The 25908-nt window shown below is 34.6% G+C and overlaps 2 protein-coding genes across 3 annotated transcripts in view, besides 2 other annotated features; both read left to right on the top strand.

Moving 5' to 3' along the window:
* The window catches only part of ABCA10 (ATP binding cassette subfamily A member 10), a 96842-nt gene extending 95912 nt beyond the window's left edge, over positions 1-930 (top strand). For both annotated transcript variants that reach the window (NM_080282.4, NM_001377321.1), the window contains one exon: positions 12-930. In NM_080282.4, the coding sequence (NP_525021.3) occupies positions 12-110 (99 nt within the window). In that variant the 3' untranslated portion in view covers positions 111-930. The remainder of the gene's footprint in view (positions 1-11) is intronic.
* Positions 3783-3983: a silencer, noted in NCBI's record as "peak2964 fragment used in MPRA reporter construct". NCBI's record gives its function as "represses an SCP1 promoter by STARR-seq MPRAs in K562 erythroleukemia cells {active_cell/tissue: K562}" and the evidence as "EXISTENCE:reporter gene assay evidence [ECO:0000049][PMID:32103011]".
* Positions 6855-7149: a silencer, noted in NCBI's record as "tiled region #12537; HepG2 Repressive non-DNase unmatched - State 3:PromF". NCBI's record gives its function as "represses a minimal TATA promoter and a strong SV40 promoter by Sharpr-MPRA in HepG2 cells {active_cell/tissue: HepG2}" and the evidence as "EXISTENCE:reporter gene assay evidence [ECO:0000049][PMID:27701403]".
* ABCA6 (ATP binding cassette subfamily A member 6) overlaps positions 7042-25908 on the top strand; it is a 63194-nt gene continuing 44327 nt past the window's right edge. The window contains exons 1-10 of the mRNA NM_080284.3: positions 7042-7192; positions 8189-8329; positions 11437-11641; positions 12687-12845; positions 14195-14298; positions 15070-15296; positions 19186-19327; positions 20133-20318; positions 23902-24049; positions 25530-25698. Coding sequence (NP_525023.2) covers positions 8234-8329; positions 11437-11641; positions 12687-12845; positions 14195-14298; positions 15070-15296; positions 19186-19327; positions 20133-20318; positions 23902-24049; positions 25530-25698 — 1436 coding nt within the window. The 5' untranslated portion in view covers positions 7042-7192; positions 8189-8233. The remainder of the gene's footprint in view (positions 7193-8188; positions 8330-11436; positions 11642-12686; positions 12846-14194; positions 14299-15069; positions 15297-19185; positions 19328-20132; positions 20319-23901; positions 24050-25529; positions 25699-25908) is intronic.

Here is a 25908-nt window from a genome sequence, read left to right as displayed (position 1 = left end):
CTCTTACTTAGGTATTCTTAGAACTCTGTAAAGAGCAGGAGCTGGGAAATGTTGATGATAAAATTGATACAACAGTTGAATGGAAACTTCTCCCACAGGAAGACCCTTAAAATGAAGAACCTCCTAACATTCAATTTTAGGTCCTACTACATTGTTAGTTTCCATAATTCTACAAGAATGTTTCCTTTTACTTCAGTTAACAAAAGAAAACATTTAATAAACATTCAATAATGATTACAGTTTTCATTTTTAAAAATTTAGGATGAAGGAAACAAGGAAATATAGGGAAAAGTAGTAGACAAAATTAACAAAATCAGACATGTTATTCATCCCCAACATGGGTCTATTTTGTGCTTAAAAATAATTTAAAAATCATACAATATTAGGTTGGTTATCGGTTATTATCAATAAAGCTAACACTGAGAACATTTTACAAATAAAAATATGAGGTTTTTAGCCTGAACTTCAAATGTATCAGCTATTTTTAAACATTATTTACTCGGATTCTAATTTAATGTGACATTGACTATAAGAAGGTCTGATAAACTGATGAAATGGCACAGCATAACATTTAATTATAATGACATTCTGATTATAAAATAAATGCATGTGAATTTTAGTACATATTGAAGTTATATGGAAGAAGATAGCCATAATCTGTAAGAAAGTACCGCAGTTAATATTTTCTTTAGCCAACTTATATTCAATGTATTTTTTATGGATCCTTTTTCAAAGGTAGTATCAGTAGGCATAGTCATTTTCTGTATCTTTTCACCTCACAGTTCATGAACATTTCCCATGTCATTATAGCACTTTTGTGTTATATAATTGCTGCATTAATGTTATAGCTGTATTGATGTAATACCAGAGTTGTTACGTTCGGGTTATATGCAAGTTTATTTCTTAGAAATAAAACTTTGATGGACTTTTCTTATGTTTTGTTCATTAGAGTCTTAAGGTAAGTGGTTAAGATATCAACTGATGGTTCTCTCTCTTCTGTAAGATCCATATAACTTTATTCTCTGACCTGTAAAAAAAAGTCACTATCCATCTGCTATCATTTGGATATTTGACCCTGTGAATCTCATGTTGAAACTTGATTCCCAATGTTGGAGGTGGGGCCCAGTGGGAGGTGTTTGGGTCATAGGGATGTATCCCTCATGAATTGCTTGGTGCTGTCCTTGCAATTATGAGTGAGTGCTCACTCTGTTAGTTCCCAGGGGAACTGGTAGTTAAAAAGAGCCTGGCATCTTCTCCCTCTCTCTGCCTCTCTCACCATGTGATCTTTGCACATGCTGGCTCCACTTCACCTCTGCCAAGTAGAAGCAGTGTGAGGCCTCACTGGATGCAGATATTGGCACCACGCTTCTTGTACAACCTGTGGTTTCAGAATCCCAACTGAAAAAGTCAGCCTAAAAGTGTCCTGTGAAACACCTGGGAAGATAGGACGTCAGGCAAGCAACAACTTCAATGCAAAATGTGTCTTGTTCCAAAAGTGACAGGAGGACCACTGCCACAGAAACCACCCTAAAGTCAGAAGCAGCGGTAAGAAGATAGGCCTGATGGAAGCAGAGCTGACATGCAGTTGCTGACTTTCACATGCTTCCAACAAGCAGATTTTGCAGCAGAGCAATATGAAACATTGATTGGATGAATACAGAAGCAAATGAATCAGAAAATTTAGCAGGATTGTGTTAGATTGGGCAAAAAAAAAAAAAAACAACTGTTGCAAATAAAATGAATATAGAGTTATTGCCCATAAATTCTCAGTGTCTCAATCCATTTAATTTTTTTTATTGTGGCAAAAATATAATAAAACAAAATTTGCTTGAAATCAGACACAGAAGGAAAAATATTGTATGCTTACATTCATATGGAATATCTATTAATAAATTAGGCACATTCCCTGAGGCAGAAAGAAATTAAAAATTACTAGCGGCTAGGGGGAGGAGAGAGTGGGAGTTATCACTTAATGGTTACAGAATTCCTGTTTGGGTTGATGAAAAATTTGAGAACTAGACAGTGGTGCTGGTTGCACAATTTTGTGAATGCAATTAATGTCACTGAATTGTACACTTAAAAATTGTCAAAGTGGAGAATTCCATTCATTTAACTTTAAAAAATATAATTTTTAAAATCTTATATGTTTTGCCATAAAAATTATAGTATTTATACAATCTAAACTGGAAAATACTCTTTCTTAGCTAATACATTTTTCTATCATATACACACAGGATAATATTATATCTACTATTATATAATTACTTAACATCATACTACGAACATCACACCTTCCTTGTTTATTGTATACCTATGTCAGTTTAAGTCAGTTTTTTTTTTTTGTAGTGTGTATGTAGTATTTCAGTGTTTGGATGTACCAAAACTTTTTAGTTGAGAATAAATTGAAAGATATACAGGTTGTTTCTCAGTTTTCCTGTTAGAAACAATGCTGCAGAAGTTCAGTCCCTCTAGAGAACCCTGCCAAAGATACACATGCAACATTTTTCCATATATATATATATATATTCCATATATATATATTCCATATTATATATTCCATATATATATTCCATATTATATATTCCATATATATATTCCATATTATATATTCCATATATATATTCCATATATATATATTCCGTATATATATATTCCGTATATATATATTCCGTATATATATATTCCGTATATATATATATTCCGTATATATATATTCCGTATATATATATTCCGTATATATATATTCCGTATATATATATTCCGTATATATATTCCGTGTATTTATATTCCGTATATATATATTCCGTATATATATATTCCATGTATATATATTCCATGTATATATATTCCATATGTGTATATTCCATATGTGTATATTCCATATGTGTATATACTCATATATATTATTATATATGGGAGTTTATATATATGGGAGATATATATATCTGGGATATATATATATATGGGAGTTTATTTAGTAATATTAACTAATACAATCACAAGGTCCCACAATAGGCTGTCTGCAAGCTGAGGAGCAAGGAAGCCAGTCCGAGTCCCAAAGCTGAAGAAACTTGGAGTCCCATATTTGAGGGCAGGAAGCATCCAGCACAGGAGAAAGATGTAGGCTGTGAGGCTAAGCCAGTCTAGCTTTTTCACGTTTTTCTGCCTGCTTTTTATTCTGGCCGAGCTGGCAGCTGATTAGATGGTGCCTACCCAGATTAGGAGTGGGTCTGCCCTTCCCAGCCCACTGACTCAAGTTTTAATCTCCTTTGGCAACACCCTTACAGAGACACCCAGGATCAGTACTTTGTGTCTTTCAATCCAATCAAGTTGACACTGGGTATTAACCATTACAGCAATTATCTATGTAATCACTTCAAATATATTCCTAGAATGTCTGGGTCATTGTGTGGAGTTGTACCAATGCATTCCATCCCTAGCTGTCCAGAAATTTCCCCAGAGAGGAAGAAATTAGAGACTGTTGGCAGTAATGCCAAGTGAAGTGCCCATTTCTATAAACAAAAAAAAATGGCAGAAATATACAGCTAAAATGGAACTAAGAAAGGTCCCAGGCTCTTATTATAACATTGTTAGCATCCCAAATAATTATTTAGTAGACTAAAGAAAGATGCCAGGAGCTAGCACATACTGCTCCAATCTGTGATTAGATTGGGAAAGGTGGAAAGTGAAGAGAAATTTGAAAGCCCATATTGCATTCTTCGACCTTGGCTGGGGGACTTATGAAATCATGATCCAGCTAAGGGAAAGCCTGTAATATCACTGAACAGAACAGAGAGTTTAGTCAAGGAAGAAAATGCTCAGCCTCATGATCATTCTACCATGTGGTTTCATTTTGTTGTTGTGTTTTTTTCACTTGCAACCAGTCTAGGGGGTCACCCAGAAAGAAAAAAGTCCTACCAAGAACCCTGGCTACTCAGCCAAAACCATCTCCAGGCTGTGGTAGTAACTGAAGTGAAGAGGACTTTTGTTTCTGGTGAACCTTGTATCTGTCTTACAAAGAGAAATGAAGGGGAAGGAAAAAAGGGGTTAGCCTGTCAGGAAAAAAAAAAAGGAAAAAGAAGAAAGGGAAGGAAGGAAGGAAGGGAGGAGGGAGGAGGGAGAAAGAAAAGAAAAGAGAAAGAAAGGAAAGAAAGAAAAGAAAAAAGAGAAAAAGAAGGAAGGAGAAATTATTACTGACCTAATCAATGGCCAACAGAGTCCAAGCACCATGCTGATGAATCTAGACTTCTTTAATATTGGTCATTAATGGGAAAAAATCATTGGCCAGATGAGAAAAATTAGACTACAGAATGATCAATCCAAGTGCGATAATCAGCAAAGTTCCCCAAAGAAACACACATAATTATTAAAAAAAAGGGAAGATCTTAAAAATACTACTACTTAGAATTTTGTATTAGTCACATTTGAGAGAGCTTGCTTAGCTCACAATAATTTCCCCCTTAGTTCTTAAGTTTTCTAATAGTCTCATTTGTTTGTCCTACTGATTTGTTTTCATGTTAGACTTTTGATTATGAGTTTATCTTCTGGGAGGAATATTTCTTTTACCTCTGTTGCTTTGTGTTCTGAAATTTGGATGTATCTTTATGGAATTTTTGTGTTTTCTCTGTGACACTCCAGGATAGTAAGAGGAGGAGGGAGGAAGAGGAGGAAGGAGGAGGAGGAGGAGGGGAAGTAACAGCAAATAACATTTTTTGAGCTTTTACAATTTTCCCTCATTTTTCTATGTACTTACATAGATGAATTTAACCCCTACAATAACCTTATATATATATTAATACTGTTGTTTTTCCACTTTTGGGGGGTAAAAAACCTGAGGGCGTGAGAGTTAAATGGATTGTGCAAGGTCACACAGCTAGTACATGGCAGAGCCAGAATTTGGACACAAGTTTGGCTCCAGAGTGTTTACACTAACTCCTGTAATACATCTCTGGACAGGTTATTATACTGGGAGAATAAATTCAGATCCTTCTCCTGTCTCTTGTACCTGATACATGCTCTACATACTTTGTGGTTTCATTTTCTATGGGCGATCTATCTATCTATCTATCTATCTATCTATCTATCTATCTATCTATCTATCTACTATCTGTCTGTCTGTCTTCCAGAAATTGGGCAGAGAATACAGCTTTGCTCTCCCCTGAGGTTGTAGGTGAAATTTTCCTAGTCTGTTTTTAGCACCGGACAGTCCTATAAACCCTCTGGATTCCTGCAGGAATATGAACTCCAGCTTACCAACCTTTCAAGGACCAAGTTCAGGCCAGAGGGTCATTAAAACACCTGAGGCTTGGTTTTCAGTCCAGTATATCCTTGAACTGATGGAGTGTCTGAAATGCCACTCACAACTTAAGGGAAACTTTAAATTCCTTTTCAGTTTTAACACCTGGAAACATGTCTTTCTGTCTTTTTTTGTTTCTTCCATTGTTGTTTACATTCTTCATCTTTTTTCTTCCTTTTTTGAATTTGACTATATATTGGAAATTCAATTTGGGGATATATTTTACCCACCACTTCCATGCCCTTCTAGCTGGAGGCTGGGCACTTTAGTATATTAGATCACCATTTGTGGGGAAATTGTCACATTACGTAAGGAAAACAGCCTCCCAAAATGAAAATAAGTAAGAGGAAACAGGTCAAGAAAAAGGAAAAGAAAGCATACACAAGAAACAATGGTAAGAAATGAAACTAATAAATATATTTAATCTAAATAATTATCATTGATATTGTAGCTGTGAATTTTAATACAATTATAAGAATGGCAGAATGAAAATGATTCCTAAAATAAAGTATAAAGGGTCTAAAACAATGATAACAACAAAAAAATTCATAAAAGCCTTAACTGTATTCCAGGTGGTTTAAAAGTAACTTTGAGTTTTGTTATATTACTATTACAAAATGTTAAGTGTTTATGACCTCCCTTCCCACACCCCATGAGAACTTTAGAACACCTTTATTAACGGTGTTTGTGCCAATTTTCAATGTAAAAAAAGTGGCATTTCACTGTTGACTATTTTTAAAAACAGAAGTAATTGCCAAGGAGAGAAATTTTATATATATATATATACACACACACACACACACACACACATTATATATATACACATATGTATACATTATATATATATACATTTTATATATATACACACAGGCACACACATATACACATAATAGTATCATGGCTGTAGTTGTCATTGTTGTTTAAATTATCTGCTTTGCTCCAGAAAGTTTCTCAGCTTTATGATTATTAACATCTGTGGATTGGGAGCCGTGTCAAATATTTGAGATTTCCCAATTCATGGACTTTGATTTCCTGTTTTGCCATTCACTGTGGCAGGTCAAGAAAAGTTTGCAACTCTTTACAGAGCAGAGAGAGACAGACTATGCTATATGAATTAAACATGTTTCAGTTTGTTGTAGTCTTCGTGCACAAAAATTTATCTGAATCTTTTTATATGTTTTGTAGACCTGGGCAAACCACTGGCTTATTTTGTTCATAAGTATTATGAAATCCTGTATCCACTGTGAAGAGGGTGGGAGCAACAAATTTGTTAAAAATTCTTCATTTGTCTGTCCTAGGAGTTTCTCCAAGGCGTACTATGGATTGCTTAGCTTTATTAGGAAAAAAAATCAGCTCCAGAATACTCTGCTAACTTAGTCTGAATTAGTTAAATATACAACTAACTGGCAGTTGTGTTTATTCATCAGTAGTGAAAAGAAAATAGATACAGATTTCTTATACAAATTTAACTGCTTTGTTTGGTTAGTTATTGTTTTTACTCTTTCTTGTTCCTGCCTCCATCTTGGTCTCATCATTTCTGAAGAACTAGTTCCATTTTCCTTGTTTACCGTTTTCCCCCTTATCCCTGTAGTTGAAAGGCTAAGTGAACAAACACAGAGTTTATTTTATTCCCAACCAACCACGGAACAGTCATTTCCTTGCAGAATAATTGGCTTAGGGAGAAAGAGACACAGAAAACAAAACAAGTTCATCATGTACAGCTTGGTCTGGCTACACCCCTTTTCAGAAACCAGGCTGTGTAAGAGCTGCTGGAGTAGGCACCCATTTAAAGAAAAAATGAAGAAGCAGCAATAAAGAAGTTGTAATCGTTACCTAGACAAACAGAGAACTGGTTTTGACAGTGTTTCTAGAGTGCTTTTTATTATTTTCCTGACAGTAAGTAAAGCTCTATTTTGTTGTGCTGTGCCAAATATGTGGGTGGACACTGCTAAAATCAATCTATTTTTCAGATGTTTCCCAATTCTTATGTGTTTTATGTTAAAGACCTAAGACTAAATTTTTCTGCTTTTTCCCAACCACTTTTTATTGTGTAGATTGTAACAGTAAGACATAGAAAAATGGAAAAAATTTGCTTCTGTGCTAGCTGAGGGAGAATTATCTGAATATTTTGATGTAAAAATATGAAAGAATTTCATTTTGAGGTTACAGAAACGAAAAAAATTGTGTTTCTTGATTTGCAAATCTTTGGGCAAAATTACTTTCCCGTGTGATTTATTTTTGCTTCTTTTAAAGCTAATTTTGTAGTTTCATTAGTTATTCAGGGACTTCTGAATTCAGAAAATTGAGAGAAATTGCTTTATTCTTCCTGTATCTCAGAATCAAGTTTCAAGTAGTTTGAGCCTGGATTATGATTTACAACCTATCTCTTTTCATAAAAGTTGATTCAATCTGAAGGTAAAATTACAAGAAAACACTTTATTGAGGTTGTATCTAGTGGATGTAATTTATTATTCAGACAAATTTAAGTAATCAGACTTTTGATGTTAATTTGATTAGCTCTGAGATTTCTGTTTCAATGTAAAGAACAAGAAATGGCTATTAACAGGATGAAATTAATTTAATCACTCTATTCATGTACTTAAAGTTCTCTCATACAAGGCCAAAAATGTGAAATTATAGGTTCTGAAGTTGAATTACAGCTTTTCCATTTCAGTACTCCAAGTTATTGCAAAATTGTGATAATAATCACTCTGCCTTCCCACCATCACCCACTCCCCTAAAAAGCTTAAGGTGAAATATTTGAGGTGAAATTTTACAGTCATAAATTATTGAAATAATATTTTAAATTCATGTTTACACTTTTTAAAGGTAGTAAATATTTTCCTCAACACTATGATCAAGGTTTTTCTTATTACACTTATTTTTTTCTAGGTTGTGTTCCACCATGATTACTTTCTCCTTCAGCGAATAGGCTAAATGAATATGAAACAGAAAAGCGTGTATCAGCAAACCAAAGCACTTCTGTGCAAGAATTTTCTTAAGAAATGGAGGATGAAAAGAGAGAGCTTATTGGTATGTTTAAAAATTTGTCTCTTTCCACGGTTAGCACTCTTACAGTGTTTCATTACCTACTGATTCTCTTATGTTCTCTTTTAATTAGTAGATGGGATTTATTGATTTTACCAGTTCTCTCTAGTTGTATTTGTTGAATTGAGAGACTGAAGAATAACATAAAATTATTAAAGACTAAAAGAATTCCTCATATAAAAAGAGATTAAGTGAACATTTAATTATATGGTAAATTACAGCAACTGCTAGAGCTACTACCAAATGTTATACACTTAGAGCCAAGAAGTACAAAAAAAATGTTGTCAGAAGAAATGGAGACATTTTAATTTTGTGGATTTATTTTCAAGGACATGAATTTTCTACACAAAAATTGTTTTTAAGAATTATGATCAACTAACACCACTGAAAGTCAGTTTGCATCAAGCAGGTGGGCTAATCACAGATGACTAGCCCAAATCTCAGTGGCTTAACACAGCAAATGTTTATTTTTTTATTTTTTATTTTTTTATTATTATTATACTTTAAGTTTTAGGGTACATGTGCACAATGTGCAGGTTAGTTACATACATATACATGTGCCATGCTGGTGTGCTGCACCCATTAACTCGCCATTTAGCATTAGGTATATCTCCTAATGCTATCCCTCCCCCCTCCCCCCATCCCACAACAGGCCCCAGAGTGTGATGTTCCCCTTCCTGTGTCCATGTGTTCTCATTGTTCAATTGCCATCTATGAGTGAGAACATGCGGTGTTTGGTTTTTTGTCCTTGCAATAGTTTACTGAGAATGATGATTTCCAATTTCATCCATGTCCCTACAAAGGACATGAACTCATCATTTTTTATGGCTGCATAGTATTCCATGGTGTATATGTGTCACATTTTCTTAATCCAGTCTATCATTGTCGGACATTTGGGTTGGTTCCAAGTGTTTGCTATTGTGAATAGTGCCGCAGTAAACATACATGTGCATGTGTCTTTATAGCAGCATGATTTGTAGTCCTTTGGGTATATACCCAGTAATGAGATGGCTGGGTCAAATGGTATTTCTAGTTCTAGATCCCTGAGGAATCACCACACTGACTTCCACAATGGTTGAACTAGTTTACATTCCCACCAACAGTGTAAAAGTGTTCCTATTTCTCCACATCCTCTCCAGCGCCTGTTGTTTCTTGACTTTTTAATGATTGCCATTCTAACTGGTGTGAGATGGTATCTCATTGTGGTTTTGATTTGCATTTCTCTGATGGCCAGTGATGATGAGCATTTTTTCATGTGTCTTTTGGCTGCATAAATGTCTTCTTTTGAGAAGTGTCTTTTCATATCCTTTGCCCACTTTTTGATGGGGCTGTTTGTTTTTTTCTTGTAAATTTGTTTGAGTTCATTGTAGATTCTGGATATTGGCCCTTTGTCAGATGAGTAGGTTGGGAAAATTTTCTCCCGTTTTGTAGGTTGCCTGTTCACCCTGATGGTAGTTTCTTTTGCTGTGCAGAAGCTCTTTAGTTTAATTAGATCTCATTTGTCAATTTTAGCTTTTGTTGCCATTGCTTTTGGTGTTTTAGACATGAAGTCCTTGCCCCTGCTTATGTCCTGAATGGTAATGCCTAGGTTTTCTTCTAGGGTTTTTATGGTTTTAGGTCTAACGTTTAAGTCTTTAATCCATCTTGAATTAATTTTTGTATAAGGTGTAAGGAAGGGATCCAGTTTCAGCTTTCTACACATGGCTAGCCAGTTTTCCCAGCACCATTTATTAAATAGGGAATCCTTTCCCCATTGCTTGTTTTTCTCAGGTTTGTCAAAGATCAGATAGTTGTAGATATGCGGCGTTATTTCTGAGGGCTCTGTTCTGTTCCATTGATCTATATCTCTGTTTTGGTACCAGTACCATGCTGTTTTGGTTACTGTGGCCTTGTAGTATAGTTTGAAGTCAGGTAGTGTGATGCCTCCAGCTTTGTTCTTTTGGCTTAGGATTGACTTGGCGATGCGGGCTCTTTTTTGGTTCCGTATGAACTTTAAAGTAGTTTTTTCCAATTCTGTGAAGAAAGTCATTGGTAGCTTGATGGGGATGGCATTGAATCTATAAATTACCTTGGGCAGTATGGCCATTTTCACGATATTGATTCTTCCTACCCATGAGCATGGAATGTTCTGAGCCAAATCATGAGTGAATTCCCATTCACAATTGCTTCAAAGAGAATAAAATACTTAGGAATCCAACTTACAAGGGACGTGAAGGACCTCTTCAAGGAGAACTACAAAGCACTGCTCAATGAAATAAAAGAGGATACAAGCAAATGCTTATTTTTAACTCCTCATGGTCTAATGAAAGTTGAGAGTGGAAGTAAAGTAGGTTGGGTGGGTGAAGAAATCTTCTCCACACAATCATTCAGGCACCTAGGCTTCATCCAGGACCTCTGCCACCATCTTGGACCTTGAAGACCTCTAGAGGATCCTATGCATTCAGTCAAAAGATCAGGAAATAGTGGGACCAGGACAGTGAGAATATAGAAAGTTGTATATGTCCATGAACGAGGCCTGGAAGTAGTGCATATCACTTCTGCCCATATCCTGTGGTCCAGGAAATCATTCGGTTCCACTTAATTTCAGTAGGCTGAGAATGCAGTCAAGCATGGTGCCAAAGAGGTAATGATGATTGACATTGGTGAACAGCAATAGTAGTAGCCTCCACCAGCCAGTTCCTTTTCATTTTCTTTAGTTTACAATACAAGGATATGACAACTGGCAAAAATATTGCTATTTGCCACCATAAACTCTATCTAGGATACTCCATGTCTTATAAATTCTATAGTCAGCTGCCCATGCATATAGAGATTGTCATCCTGTTATTCACTCCATTAGTTTCTATGACGGCTTCTGCAGGAGTTCATGATTTAATGCAAAAGTTTTGTTCTAGTATTAGAGAATGATAAATGTGGCTACTGTCTCAGTATTTATCTTTCATTTGATTCTCCATGCTCTGAGGCTTGGAGAGCAGAGAGAACATAACTGTATAGCACAATTGGAATTTGTTTTCAACAGTATTTTGTATTAACTGAGATCTTTAAGTGAATGCAACCTTAATTCATTATTTTTCTTTTTATATGCATTACAGGAATGGGGCCTCTCAATACTTCTAGGACTGTGTATTGCTCTGTTTTCCAGTTCCATGAGAAATGTCCAGTTTCCTGGAATGGCTCCTCAGAATCTGGGAAGGGTAGATAAATTTAATAGCTCTTCTTTAATGGTTGTGTATACACCAATATCTAATTTAACCCAGCAGATAATGAATAAAACAGCACTTGCTCCTCTTTTGAAAGGTAGGTGTACTCATGGCAAAAAAAGAGTTACTGATAGATGTCTATATACTGTTGATAAGTTGTCTACACATTAATTTGAAGTTAAAGTCATATATTATGCTAATAACTTAAGTACTAAAATAGCATACAAATCTGGTTAGATTATTGCTTTCTCTCACAACAACTAGCCTTTGAAATATTTTCAGCTTGTTGGGAGTCCAGTTTAGGGAGGTCCATATTTCTACTGGAATATAACTAAACCCAGATTTATACTTTTAGATTTGCAGGATAGTATCTAGAAGGAATATAGTAATTGAAAATTGTGTGTGTTTTTAACATGGCATACAATGATTAAGATTTGTATCTCAGGAAAAAAACATCTAAATAAATAAAATAGGTCATGGTTATTGAACAATAATTTCATAACTTTGAAAAGCAGAAATGAATAATCTGATGATTATTCTGTTCTGAATATAGTACAATCAGTAAACATCTTTAAAAGTCTTTATTCTAAATGAGATCATTATGATGTAACCAAAATAAGCAAAATGCATATTTCATTCATGGGCAAATTGGGTGCAATTTGGCTATTTACTCTTTAATCCTCCATTCCTGACAAGTGAAATTCCTGGCTATTGAAAATAGAGTCACTTTTAAAAAATCTTGTTTTCTGCAGAAGGCAAAGGTCATATAAATTGTCTTTGCTTCAGTAAATCTGAAATAAGGAATCCCTGACTGTATAGTAACTACAACAATTAATTCTGTTTTTGTACTCTCATTCTCTTATGCATACTTAATTTGGCACAATTTTTTCTTTATGTACCTAAAACTTGCCCTGATACTTGTCATTATGAAAATAAAACATGTAATTCTTATGCATGTCTTCTGACTGTAGAATCTAAACCATTAAATTTCCCCCCTTGCATTTGGGTTAAAATTGATTTAAATGGAAAATGATTTTAATTTAAGTCTAATGAAATTATATGGGGAAACAGTTGAATATCACATTATGTTGTGGCAAAACTCTTACAATTTTCTATGTCTATTTTTACCTTGTAATTCACAGGAACAAGTGTCATTGGGGCACCAAATAAAACACACATGGACGAAATACTTCTGGAAAATTTACCATATGCTATGGGAATCATCTTTAATGAAACTTTCTCTTATAAGTTAATATTTTTCCAGGGATATAACAGTCCACTTTGGAAAGAAGATTTCTCAGGTGACTTTCCATATCAAATATCATTATGGAATTTTTCATGTTTTCAACATAAAGAACAGAGGAGGTTGGGCAACAGAGATGCTTTCAATGACACATGAGAAAACAGGGAAAGCCCATTTCATTGCTGAACTTATTTCAAGGTCAATCGTATGTTCCTACTACAGGATGACTGCAAAAATTGTAGAGTCATCCAACATATATGTGTTGAGCATGCAGATGCATGTGTCAAAGGACACATGAGTAACCAAGACTGACAGGCCCCAGCCTCAGGTGAGATTCCAGGTTAGCAGCAAAGACAGACATTGAACAATTAATGACAAGTACAAGAAAAAGTGTTTCATGGGCACTTAGACCAGGGGTTCCTAATAGTGGGATTAGAGAAGTCCTACCTGGGGAAATGATGTTTAAAGGGAGACCAGAATGAATAGCAGGTGTGAGGTGCTAGAAGCATTGTGTTTCAGATAGAAGAAAGGTAATTGTGAAGACCCTGAGGTGAGAAAGGACATCTGTTCCTAGATCTGGAAGAAGAGCAGTATAGCTGAACAAGGAACATGAAAAGGAATGTAATGGGAGAGTGAAGCTGAAGTCACTCAAGTGCTACCTCCTGTGGCATCTTGTAAACCTAGGCAAGGAATAGCCACTGAGTCACTTTAATCACGGCAAAAGTGTAATTCGGTTTCCAAAATTAGGGGAACACTCCAGATATAGCCCGGGGAATAGATTGCCAAGAGGCTATGGAGAATGTCAAGAAACAAGGAGTCCATTATGGCTGGAGCAGAGTGTTTGCTTTCATCTCCTTTTTATTTTCTAAGACTTTCTAAGCATGCTGTGGTCTGCAAGAATAAAATTGCTTTATTAAAAACTTTCATTTATTTGCTTCCTTTTTCTATGTAGTTAAAAGTCTACTGGTGGGCCAGCCATGGTGGCTCACACCTGTAATCCCAGCACTTTGAGAGGCCGAGGTGCACGGATCACCTGAGGTCAGGAGTTCGAGACCAGCCTGGCCAACATGGTGAAAGCCTGTCTCTACTAAAAATACAAAAATTAGCTAGACAACGTGGCCTGTGCCTATAATCCCAGCTTTGGGAGGCTGAGGTAGGAGAATCACTTGAACCCAGGAGGTGGAGGTTGCAGTGAGCTGAGATCGCACCACTGCACTCCAGCCTGGGCAACAGAGTGAGACTTCATCTCCAAAAAAAAAAAGACAACCACAACAAAAACGAAACACCACCACCAAAAAAGTTTACTGGTAGAGTCTCCTCTAGATTGTTTTCTTTTCAATACTTGTTTCATATTCTCCAACTGCCCTCGTCCCATAATGTTGGCTGTGCTTTTCTTTGTGCTTACAGCTCATTGCTGGGATGGATATGGTGAGTTTTCATGTACATTGACCAAATACTGGAATAGAGGATTTGTGGCTTTACAAACAGCTATTAATACTGCCATTATAGAAGTAAGTGCTTGATTGAAAAGTTCTACTAATTAATGTCAGCTACTTCCAGAGACCTCAAGATTTTTGATGAAAGATAATTGTCTTAGTCCGTTTGTACTGCTACAACAAAATACTTGAGATTGGGTAATTTGTAAAGGACAGAAATTTATTTCTGGAGGCTGAGAAGTGCAAGATCAAGGTGTTGGCAGGCTCAAAGACTGGTAAAGGTCCATTCCTCATAGATAGCACCGTCTAAGTGTCCTCACGTGATGAAAGAATGGAGAGCAAAAACTGCCTCAGCTAGTTCCCTCTAGCCTTTTACAAGGCACTAATCCATTCATGAGGGCTCCACCCTCATGACCCAACCACTACCCCAAAGGCTCTCCCTCCTAATACCATCACAATGGGAATTAAGTTGCAACAAGAATTTAGGAGGGGCCACTTTCAAACCGTAGCAATGATATATAATCAGATTTTCCTGTGGTTATATAATGAAGCAGATATTCAGACCAAGGAACACATTGCATATCTATTTTAAAACTTTAAAACCAATTTTATTGGTTGTAAAACTAATTTTGAAGTGGTTGTAAAGACACAGGAGGCTGCAAATGTAATGTACAGAGAAGTCCATGTACCCTTCATCCAGTTGCCTTTACTGGGAACATCTTGCATAACTACAGTACAGTAAGAAAAATTGGAGAACCGACATAAGTAAAATACACAGAGCTTACTCATAGTTCACCAGTTTCTATCTTTTAAATAATAATTATGTTTGTTTAAACTCTACTTTAGATCACAACCAATCACCCTGTGATGGAGGAGTTGATGTCAGTTACTGCTATAACTATGAAGACATTACCTTTCATAACTAAAAATCTTCTTCACAATGAGATGTTTATTTTATTCTTCTTGCTTCATTTCTCCCCACTTGTATATTTTATATCACTCAATGTAACAAAAGAGAGAAAAAAGTCTAAGAATTTGATGAAAATGATGGGTCTCCAAGATTCAGCATTCTGGTGAGTGACTAATTCAAGTAGTGCAAATTAATAAACAGGAAAATTAAGAAGCAGTGAAAAAGTGTTATTGTTTCAGAGCATCATGGTTTAAACTTGATGCATTGGCTACTTTTTCTTTTGTTCTGAGTTTTTTACTTAGTCTGTTAAATTTTGCCATGCAAAATAGTGCTTATAATGTGCTGAGCACTTTTTCTGTGCCGTGAATGTCTTAAGCCAACACTGATACAGGGGGACTGTCATTCATTTTATAAGCAAGGAAAATGAAGTTCAAAGAGAATAAGAGAATTGCCCAATGTGAGATGGAGGGTGAGTGCCGGAGCTGAGACTCTAACCCAGGTGCCCTGACTGCAGCTTGTTTTCTCGCCTGGTCTTCTTACAGTTAACAGTTGATTTCTCCAGACTTTCTCATGTTGAAGAGAGTATAATCCTGTAAAAGTTGACTTGTGTTCAGGGGTTTGGCCACAAGGCATAGATTTTTTGGAGCAAGTAAATACTATATGTTGGAATAAAATGAGAGAGCCCACATAATATTCCTAGGACATACAACACAAAGGCTGGCATGTAAGAAGACCTTAGCAAGGGCATTTGCTATATATATTGATATTTATATCTTGCCCCCCACTCCACATTCAATTTAAAGTGATTTTGAAATCATGAGTGCGTGTACACATACATATGTGCTATGTATACATATTTACATACATTACATATGTATGCATACATGAGCATGTGTACACATACATACACACATATATGTACACACACACTCATGTATGTATATATGTATGTAGGTAGATAGATATGTATTTGTGTCATAATAAAGACAAATAATTAGGAGTAGAAATAAAGACCTAGCAAATAGGCCAGGCACACTGGCTCACACCTGTAATCTTAGCACTTTGGAAGGCCCAGGCGGGTGGATCACCTGAGGTCGGGAGTTCGAGACCAGCATGACCAACATGGTGAAACCCCATCTCTACTACAAATACAAAAATTAGCCAGGTGTGGTGGCGCGTGCCTGTAATCCCAGCTACCTGGGAGCTGAAGCAGGAGAATTGCTGGAACCTGGGAGGCAGAGGCTGCAGCGAACTGAGATCGTGCTACTGCACTCCAGCCTGGGCGACAGAGTGAGACTCCATAAAAACAAACAAACATACAAACAAAACCAAACAAACAAAAACAAAAACAAAACACCTAGCAAATAATCAGTAAGTAAGATTAGCAGATAGGAATGCAAATCATACAAGCTCCAAGCTTCCAAAAGGCTTTTGCAATACTATCAATGACAAAATCCATACTGTCTGTCTAGAAAAAGTAAAAAAGGAAAAATAATACCCCAAAAGAAATATAACATTTGTTATATTAAATCCTGGGAGATGTTTTTCTATCTATGCCCCATATCAAGCAAATACTCTTTATGGTTTTGGAACTACCTGGAATGGATGAGAAATTATGTATTGAACAATTCCTTGGGAGCCACGTGTTACCTGAAATAAAACTATGGTACAGTAAATTTTTAATTTTCTATAAAATATATTTTATTAATGGAGAGAATCTTAATTCTAATATACATAAATTGTAAGATAGAAAAAGAGGAACCTGTGTCTTCAAATAAAAAAGAGAGAAGAAGTTTTTGCAGTGGAACTTTGGGAAATACAAAAGAATGGACTTAGAGCCTCCCATGGAGTCTGTTAGGAGGGAACCCCTGTAAAAGGGGCCTTCTTTCTGTCCAGGGCATGTCCTATGGGACAGTGTCCCTGCAGTCACCTGAGACCAGGGAGGCATGAGTCAACTCTATATTAAAGTCAGAAAGGTATGGAACATTTGGGTGTGAATTCATTCTCAGGATAAGTGATTCTTAGTATGTATGTGACCTAAAAACTTAGCAAAATAAATTCATATATACGTCCTTAAAACTAAGAAGAAAAAAGATTCTGAAATGTTTCTACTAAGTGCAGGCTATCTAGTGGAAATAAACTTTATGACAATTTTTTTACCAATGTAATAAATGTGAAATTTAATCAGTATTTATTCTTTAAGTATAGTGTCTGAATTGCTTTGTTTTTTAGCAAGATAGTTTTTATACACTTATTAACATCTGACTTTCCACTCCACCCCTGCAAGTGGTTCCTTTTTCTAAGTAGTGGCAATTTCTAGGTAATTTCTTTCATTTGTAATTTTCATATCCTGTGTTTTTTCAATTCCTACCTAAAGTAGTTCCCTTCTGAATTCAGGAAGTAGGTTCTACAGAATGTGATATGTTTTTTAAAAGTGCTGATGTTTCTAACACAGGCTTAATTATTGTAATGGCATGAAATTTAAAAAGAAGTCAAATAACCAGTAAATCTGGTGTGAACATGTTCTACTGGGACATATTGATGCAAAGTCCTGGTTTTAATACTTGTGCTATATGCTTCAGCTATTGAATTCTCATTTAATTAGTCAGTGTTAAGTAGATGAACTTATCTCTGGACAGAGATAAGGCCTGCAACTTCATGAACTTTGTTACCGATTTATTCTGTGACCGTGGATAAACCCCTTAACAAATAATAGGGATTGCAGTTTCCTTATTTGTAAAATGAGACACGTGGGCTAAAACACTCTATAGTCTTGTTAGATCTAAGATTGAATACTCTTTCTTAATAACCACTTCATAAAAATATCAACACTAGCACCTCTAAAGCAAAATCGTGCAAATATTTAAGGGTGCAGCATACTTTATACAAATGTAAGTGAAGAAATCATGAATAGGATTAGAGAGAATAGAATGGGCTTAGTAGAGTTGTGAAATTTCAATTTTCTACTACGAAAGAGACTGGAGGTGCTGCCTGCTGAGATCCCCATGGATAGTCAAATTATCAACTGCCCCAGTGTTTATAGAGTTACTTGATTGATCAGAGGCTTTTAAGTTGCTTCCAATTCTACAATTAGGACGGTATGGCAATATCTAACAAAGCTGAAGTTACAAAATGCTTAGAAACACTCTTGTACATTTTTCTCAAAAAAGACAAGTACGAGAATGTTCTTGGCATTGTAATAGAAAAAAATGGAAAACAACCTAAATTTCCATGGGCAGCAGAATTTTGGGTCATATTCTCATAATGAAATATTATACAGCAGTGTATAATATTGTTGATTGATAAAGACATCTTGCAGAATAATACATACATATGATATTATTGATACTGTTTAATACAATAGTCATACTATTTACACAATACATGCACACAGAGCTGTTGCCTAACACGTAGGTACCAACGAGGCACAATGGCCCAGCTGTGCTTACAGTCACTTAATTAATTTTGGCATCCTTTTTTTTTTTTTGAGATGGAGTCTCGCTCTGTCACCCAGACTGGAGCGCAGTGGCATGATCACAGCTCACTGAAACCTCTGCCTTCTAGGTTCAAGCGATTTTTCTGCCTCAGCCTCCCGAGTAGCTGGGACTACAGGCATGCACCACCATGCCTGGCTAATTTTTTTGCATTTTTAGTAGAGACGGGTTTCACCATGTTGGTCGGGCTGGTCTGGAACTCTTGACCTCAAATGATCTGCCCACCTCAGCCTCCCAAAGTGCTGAAATTACAGGCATGAGCCACCGTGCCTGGCCTTGGCATCCTTTCTATTGGTTGGTGCCTATACCAGTGTTCAGCATCTATCATCTCTGTATGCATATATGGTAAAGGTAACGAAGATGAATGGCAATTATAAAGAAGGAGAATTGCGATTGAAAAAGGATATGCAATGAGCTTCTGCTGTAGGATTAACAGTATAGTTATTAATCTAGAAGGTACAAGGGTAGTCATTACATTGTTCTTTAGATGCTTTTGTATATATTAAATATTTTGTAAATAAGTTAACATAATTTATATAACTTTTTGTCTTTATTTAGGCTCTCCTGGGGTCTAATCTATGCTGGCTTCATCTTTATTATTTCCATATTCGTTACAATTATCATAACATTCACCCAAATTATAGTCATGACTGGCTTCATGGTCATATTTATACTCTTTTTTTTATATGGCTTATCTTTGGTAAGTTGATACATTTATTACCACTTTCTCTGCTTTAGATCTTAGCTATATGTAGCTAATATTAATGCCCTAGTAGGTTACTGCAATCACTACTTTCATGTCCATTGTGTGTGTGCATGTGTGTGTCCTTGTGTGTACTTGAAATAGTTTCTATGGAGTGAAAAAGTTATGTAATCCAAATAAAATTTGACTTGCCTTTTGCATAAAGGTCTGAACTAATGAAATGATGTATCAAAAAGAAAAAACAATGCTGACTCTAAAATATCAAAGTCTTTTCTGTATAATTATTGAGGTTATTTTTGAGGGGTGGACCCAATTTTTTTTCCCTTAAGGGTGCTCATCACATGGTAGCTGATCACAATATCTCTTCTCCCTCTAATATTCTGTCTCATACTTACTTCTCGTTTCACTCCGCTCTGCCTTCTCTGAACAAGAACCTCTAATTTCCATCTTCCAGGTTGTTTTCTGCAGAAAGTATGTAGATGCTCCTTCTTACATTAATTTAGCTTCATTACATTAATTTAGACCCAAGTCTGCATTTCTACCCTATCCTCAGCTCTCATTCCAGCTTTTCCCCCACCCTTTCCTAGCAACAAAAGCCTGGCATTTGAGTAGGACAAACAAGGATCCTTTTTCAAGAGAAGTTGAGGAAAGAACAGACTCATTATACCTTAATATTTTCACCACTTTCTCACTGATAAATATTTATGTTATGATATAAAAATCCTTATTTGATTGGGCTGCCAATGATTCTCAGTGAGCTAAATATTTTTTATAACAGCTGAATGTCTTCTCTCTCTTGCAGGTAGCTTTGGTGTTCCTGATGAGTGTGCTGTTAAAGAAAGCTGTCCTCACCAATTTGGTTGTGTTTCTCCTTACCCTCTTTTGGGGATGTCTGGGATTCACTGTATTTTATGAACAACTTCCTTCATCTCTGGAGTGGATTTTGAATATTTGTAGCCCTTTTGCCTTTACTACTGGAATGATTCAGGTAAGAGCCTAGTTAATTGGTTTATTACTGAAATTTCAAAAGAAGTAGATACTTCATACGCTGTAGGATCAGCACTACTCAAACTAAGAGCTTTTATTCTAAACAATTTTTCTAAAGTTAAGCTTTAAAATGTTATTATTACATTGTAAAAAAAAAAGTCACCTCACAAAGAAACTTAAATTTAAAAAAATCCTTCAGATTTTACCGCTCAGATATATTTTCATTTTGAAGTATTTTCTTCTAGGTTTTTTTCCTATATACAAATATTTACTTTTATTACTATTCATTTAACATAATGAAAATATCTGCTAGTTTATTAAAATTGTTATATATGAACCCACTTTTATTGTATAAACTATGAATATGAAAAACTTTCCAAACACAAGTATAGTTTAACAGATAATTATAAAGTAAATTAAAGTATCTATGAACTAGATCAAGGAATAGGATGTTGCCACCAGTCACAAACCCCTCAGAACACTCCTCCTTCGTAAAGGTAAAAATTTTATGATATTCACTTATTTGCTTTTCATTACCACTTAAGTATGTGTTCCTAAAGAAAATTTTTGGTTTTGCATGTTTTAAACTTCATAGGAGTGATGTTGCACAAAGTGTATTTTTGAAAATCTCTTTTTTCATTCAACATGACGTTTTTAGGTGGCAGCATAGTTTCTGTGTAGCTATAGTGTAGAGTTATGTAGCATCCTATTGTGTTAACATACTATCAATTTTCTTATCAATAGATTATGATAATTTTTAGTTTTTGAGCATTTTTAATAAAGCTGCTACAAACATTCTAGTACACATTTCCTACTGAATATGGACATTTCATTCTGTTCATTACGTTAATATAACAAACAGAATAGTGGGGCTGAGAGTATACAAATATTAATCTTAGTAGCTACCACCAAATATTTTCCCAAAGTGGTTGCATCAATTTAGTTTTACATCAACAGTGTTTCAGAATTCCAGTTTTTCTAACACTTCACCAGGATTTAGTATTGTCAATCTTTCAAATTTTAGTTATTCTGATGGTTATGCAATGATATATCATTGTAGTGTTAATTTGCATTTCCCCGATTATTGATGACGTTTAATGCCTTTGTATATGCTTAGTGGATTACGAATTTTCTTTTTTATAAATTACCTATCCAGTTCTTTGGCCCATTTTTCCTCTGAGTTTTCTATCTTCTCCCAATTGCTTTATGATAATTCCTTATACATGTTGAACATCCGACATTTTTCCATTATTTGTTGCTGGCTTTTTTCCTCTCTTAATGGTAACTGTGATGAACAGAGATACATAATTTTGATAAGGTCCAATTTTTCAAGTTTCTCTTTTATGTAGAATGCTTTTTGTAAAAATCAATGTAAGGAATCATTGCCTACACCAAGTTTACAAAGATATTTTCTGGCTGTTTTTCTAGAATATTGACTGGTTCAGCTTTTACATTAAGATAAAAATCCACTTCAGTGTAACTTTTGTGTGTGTATAGGTAGAGGCAATATTAATTTTGCTACACAAATATCCAATTTCTCCAGCTCAATTTATCAACTAGACTATCCTTTCCTTGAATGAATTGCAATCTTTCTTTTATCGTAACTCAGCCAATCATGTATTGGCCAAAATGCCTATCCTTGCACTGTGGCCTCATTGTCTTAATTGTTTTGCTTTATCATATGTCTTGATATCTGGCAGTAACAGTTTTACCTCTTTAATCTCTTTTTCAATAGAGTCTTGTCTATTCTAATTTCTTTGCAATTATGTAAATTTTAGAATTAGCTTATCAAGTTACATAATCACACACTTATGTGCCTGTGCAAAGCCATTAAGAGTGTGATGCAGTTGAATTATTCGATCAGTTCGAAGAAAATAGTCATCTTTTTTTCAGCCATGAACATAATATATCTTTGCATTCATTTCAGTGATCTTTGATTTTCTTTAATAATTATCTTTTTTTATTTTTATTTTATTTTGAGACAGGGTCTTGCCCTGTCACACAGGCTGGAGTATACAAACACAGCTCACTGCAGCCTCAACCTCCTGGGCTTAAGTGATCTTCCCGCCTCGGCCTCGCAAGTAACTAGGACTATAGACATACACCACCACACCTGGCTAATTTTTAATTGTTGTAGAGAGTTGGTCTCACCATGTCACTCAAGCTAATCTCAACCTCCTGGGCTCAAAAAAGCGATCCTCCCAACTCAGCCTATCAAAGTGCTGGGATTACAGGTGTGATCCATGCACTTGGCCTGTTTTAGTTTTCACTGTAGAGGTCTTACACATTTTTATTTGATTCATTCTGATGCTTTTGATATTTTTCATGCTGTTATAAATAGCATCTATGTTTAAATTCTTATTTTTAAACATTTGTTGTTAATGTAGAGAGATGCAACTGATTTCTGTACATTGGCGTTCTATCCAGCATTCTTGCTATATTCTCTTACTAAACCCAATATTTTTCTGGGTTTTATACATATATAATCATGTTGTCTTCAAATAATGATGGCTTATATTTTTCCCATCGCAATCCTTATGCTTTTTATTTCTTTTTCCTACTTTCCTGCACAGGTCCGGACCTCTAGTACAATAATGAATAGAAATGCAGGCAAAATAAAAGCTTTCTACATTGTGCCATTAAGTATGATGCTTATTGTTGGTCTCAGTGCATGTAATTCACCAGATTAAGGAAGATTCATCTTAGTTTATGAAGATATTTTCTTTACTATGAATAGATATTACATTTTACCAAATGGTTTTTCTGTGTCTATTATATTGATCACATTATTTTCCTATTTAATGTTTGATGTTGAATTACATTGATTGATTTTCAAATGTTGACTCAATTTTGGATTCCTAGAATAAATTCAACTTTATCATGAAAATGTTAACATTTTAACATAGACTGAGAAGCTGTAGAGTGTGCAGGGTAAGGAACTGGCCCTAAGAGTAAGACTTTCTTTGTTCTAATTTCACTTCGCCACTTTTGGCTACTCAACTTCGCTGTGCCTTAGTTTTATCATATGTAAAGTGCAGATTAAAATCTTATTATTTTTATAAGCCTTATTGCTTATCTGATAGGGTTTTAAGGAAGATTAAATGGGATAATATACAAAACACTTAGGACAGTGCCTAGAACATAGTCGCTGTTATTATGTGGCAAAATTCTAAATACAAACTTTTATTTGAAATAATAACTAGAAAAGGAGGTAAGTTCTCTTTTTATCTAATTAAAGGCGTCCAAGAATTTCTTATATTCTTTCCAAAATTTATATCTCCTTTGTTGCCCAGAATAGATATTTGTAATACTGCAATGATTTTCTGAAAACAAACAAATGAATTATAATTTAAATTATTATACTTAGAACATTGTATTTATTAAATAAATATTTCTTTCTAATTATTTTTCATTGTAAAATAGAAATATTTTGACCAATACCTTTATTTACTTATTTATATATTTGACTAGTAACTACTAAGTGCCTCTTGAAAAAGCTAGTTAATAAATTAATACTTTTTCCTGCTATGCCAAGCTATTTATTTATTTATTTTAAACATTTATTTTTATTTTTTGAATCTTAGATTATCAAACTGGATTATAACTTGAATGGTGTAATTTTTCCTGACCCTTCAGGAGACTCATATACAATGATAGCAACTTTTTCTATGTTGCTTTTGGATGGTCTCATCTACTTGCTATTGGCATTATACTTTGACAAAATTTTACCCTGTAAGTAATAGTGAGTTTTTCTCTGTCCTCTACAGTTATTAATTACATTGAATATATTTTTTAAGATTATATAGACTTTTAAAATGAATATTAAATATTTCCCATTTCAAACTAATAAGTTCATTATTTCTACTTCATAGTTCTAATGGTCTAATGAAATTTTTATGTAAAAACAATTCTTCTTATGACTTTACTATAGCAATATATTATAATTATATGACAACAATAATTATAATACATCTTGTAATTGTGTGGTAATTAAATAATGTTAGGTTTTCATGGATCCCTGAAAGTGTTTTGAAAGGGTCATATTAGGATTTATGTCAAAACAAGATAAAAGAAATTAGTTCTTATGGTGGTTTGGCTCTCGGGAGGCCATTATACTGTGGAAGAGCTTTCTCATGAATATTTGTTCAGCATCATTCTCAAAATGTTTTATATATTGTTCATATTTACAGAAGTATATTGATCGCCCAGTTAAATTATCTTGCAAACAACCAAAAATGTCACGTAAGCCCAGAATTTTTTCACACATTCTAGAATCAGAAAGCTTTTTTTCTGGCACAATCTTCTTGTTTATCCTCTTATTTTATATGTTCCTTCCACTATTTAAGGTTGTCTTATAGGTTTTCTATGTATTTACTTGTATATATTCCTGTCTTTCTGTGACTTCTGGTTGATATGTGAAGGCCCTTAATAATAAATTCAACTTTGTTTTTTAAACTGGAAAAATATATTTAAAATATCACTATAAATTTATTCTAAACAAATACAGTTTCTCCATGTATTCATGCCTAAGCAGGAATATATAGATTTCAATATTATGTTCAATTATGTTGCTGTGGTCAAATTATTTAAGTTGACAAACATGTCTACAATTATTTTTATGCACTGTATTAAGGCTTTGTGTCTTCCCAAATATTTGGTTTCATTCATTCTCCTAAATACCTTTTAGATCACATTTTAAAAAAATTTAATAAATATGTTTATTGGGTGATACAAATCTGTTTTTCATGAGCCTATTAAGGATAATGCAACCCATTGTTAAGACTGGAAAAAAAGGACATATAATGGTTTCCTTGTTGGGTGTCCTTTTCTACAGATGTAGACAACAGAGGCTCTAAGATCTGTACTAATGTCTTGATCAGGGAAAAGCTGGAGTCCAACTCAGCTGGTCATACACCTAATATTTTATTCGAACCTCACTTTCCTATTGACTTTCTTTTTTTTGATCACATTCTATTTATACTTTGTTGAAAGCTGTATTATATTGTTTAATTTTGCAATATGTTATTTCCTTTGAATTCCCATTGTTTACTTCATCATCAAGTTTTCTTCTTAATAATAAATTGAGTTTTAGAAGAAAAAATGTCTCTATGATGCTTAAAACTTCAAGGCATTCTGCATTGTTGTTAGCAAGGCTTCTTTGCGCATTCTTTTACTATTACTGATCATATTTTGTTGCCTCTTGGTTAATTAGATGGAGATGAGCGCCATTATTCTCCTTTATTTTTCTTGAATTCATCATCTTGTTTCCAACACCAAAGGACTAATGCTAAGGTTATTGAGAAAGAAATCGATGCTGAGCATCCCTCTGATGATTATTTTGAACCAGTAGCTCCTGAATTCCAAGGAAAAGAAGCCATCAGGTAATCACACTTATAAGTAATACTAATGCATGAGCACAAGGCTGAAGAATTATTATTATTTTTAATTTTATTATTATTATACTTTAAGTTTTAGGGTACATGTGCACAACGTGCATGTTTGTTACATATGTATACATGTGCCATGTTGGTGTGCTGCACCCATTAACTCGTCATTTAGCATTAGGTGTATCTCCTAATGCTATCCCTCCC

Source organism: Homo sapiens, chromosome 17, assembly GCF_000001405.40.
Source record: "Homo sapiens chromosome 17, GRCh38.p14 Primary Assembly".
Classification (NCBI taxonomy): Eukaryota; Metazoa; Chordata; class Mammalia; order Primates; family Hominidae; genus Homo; species Homo sapiens.
Note: the sequence above shows the minus strand (reverse complement) of the source record. Positions and strands in the feature narration are given on the sequence as shown.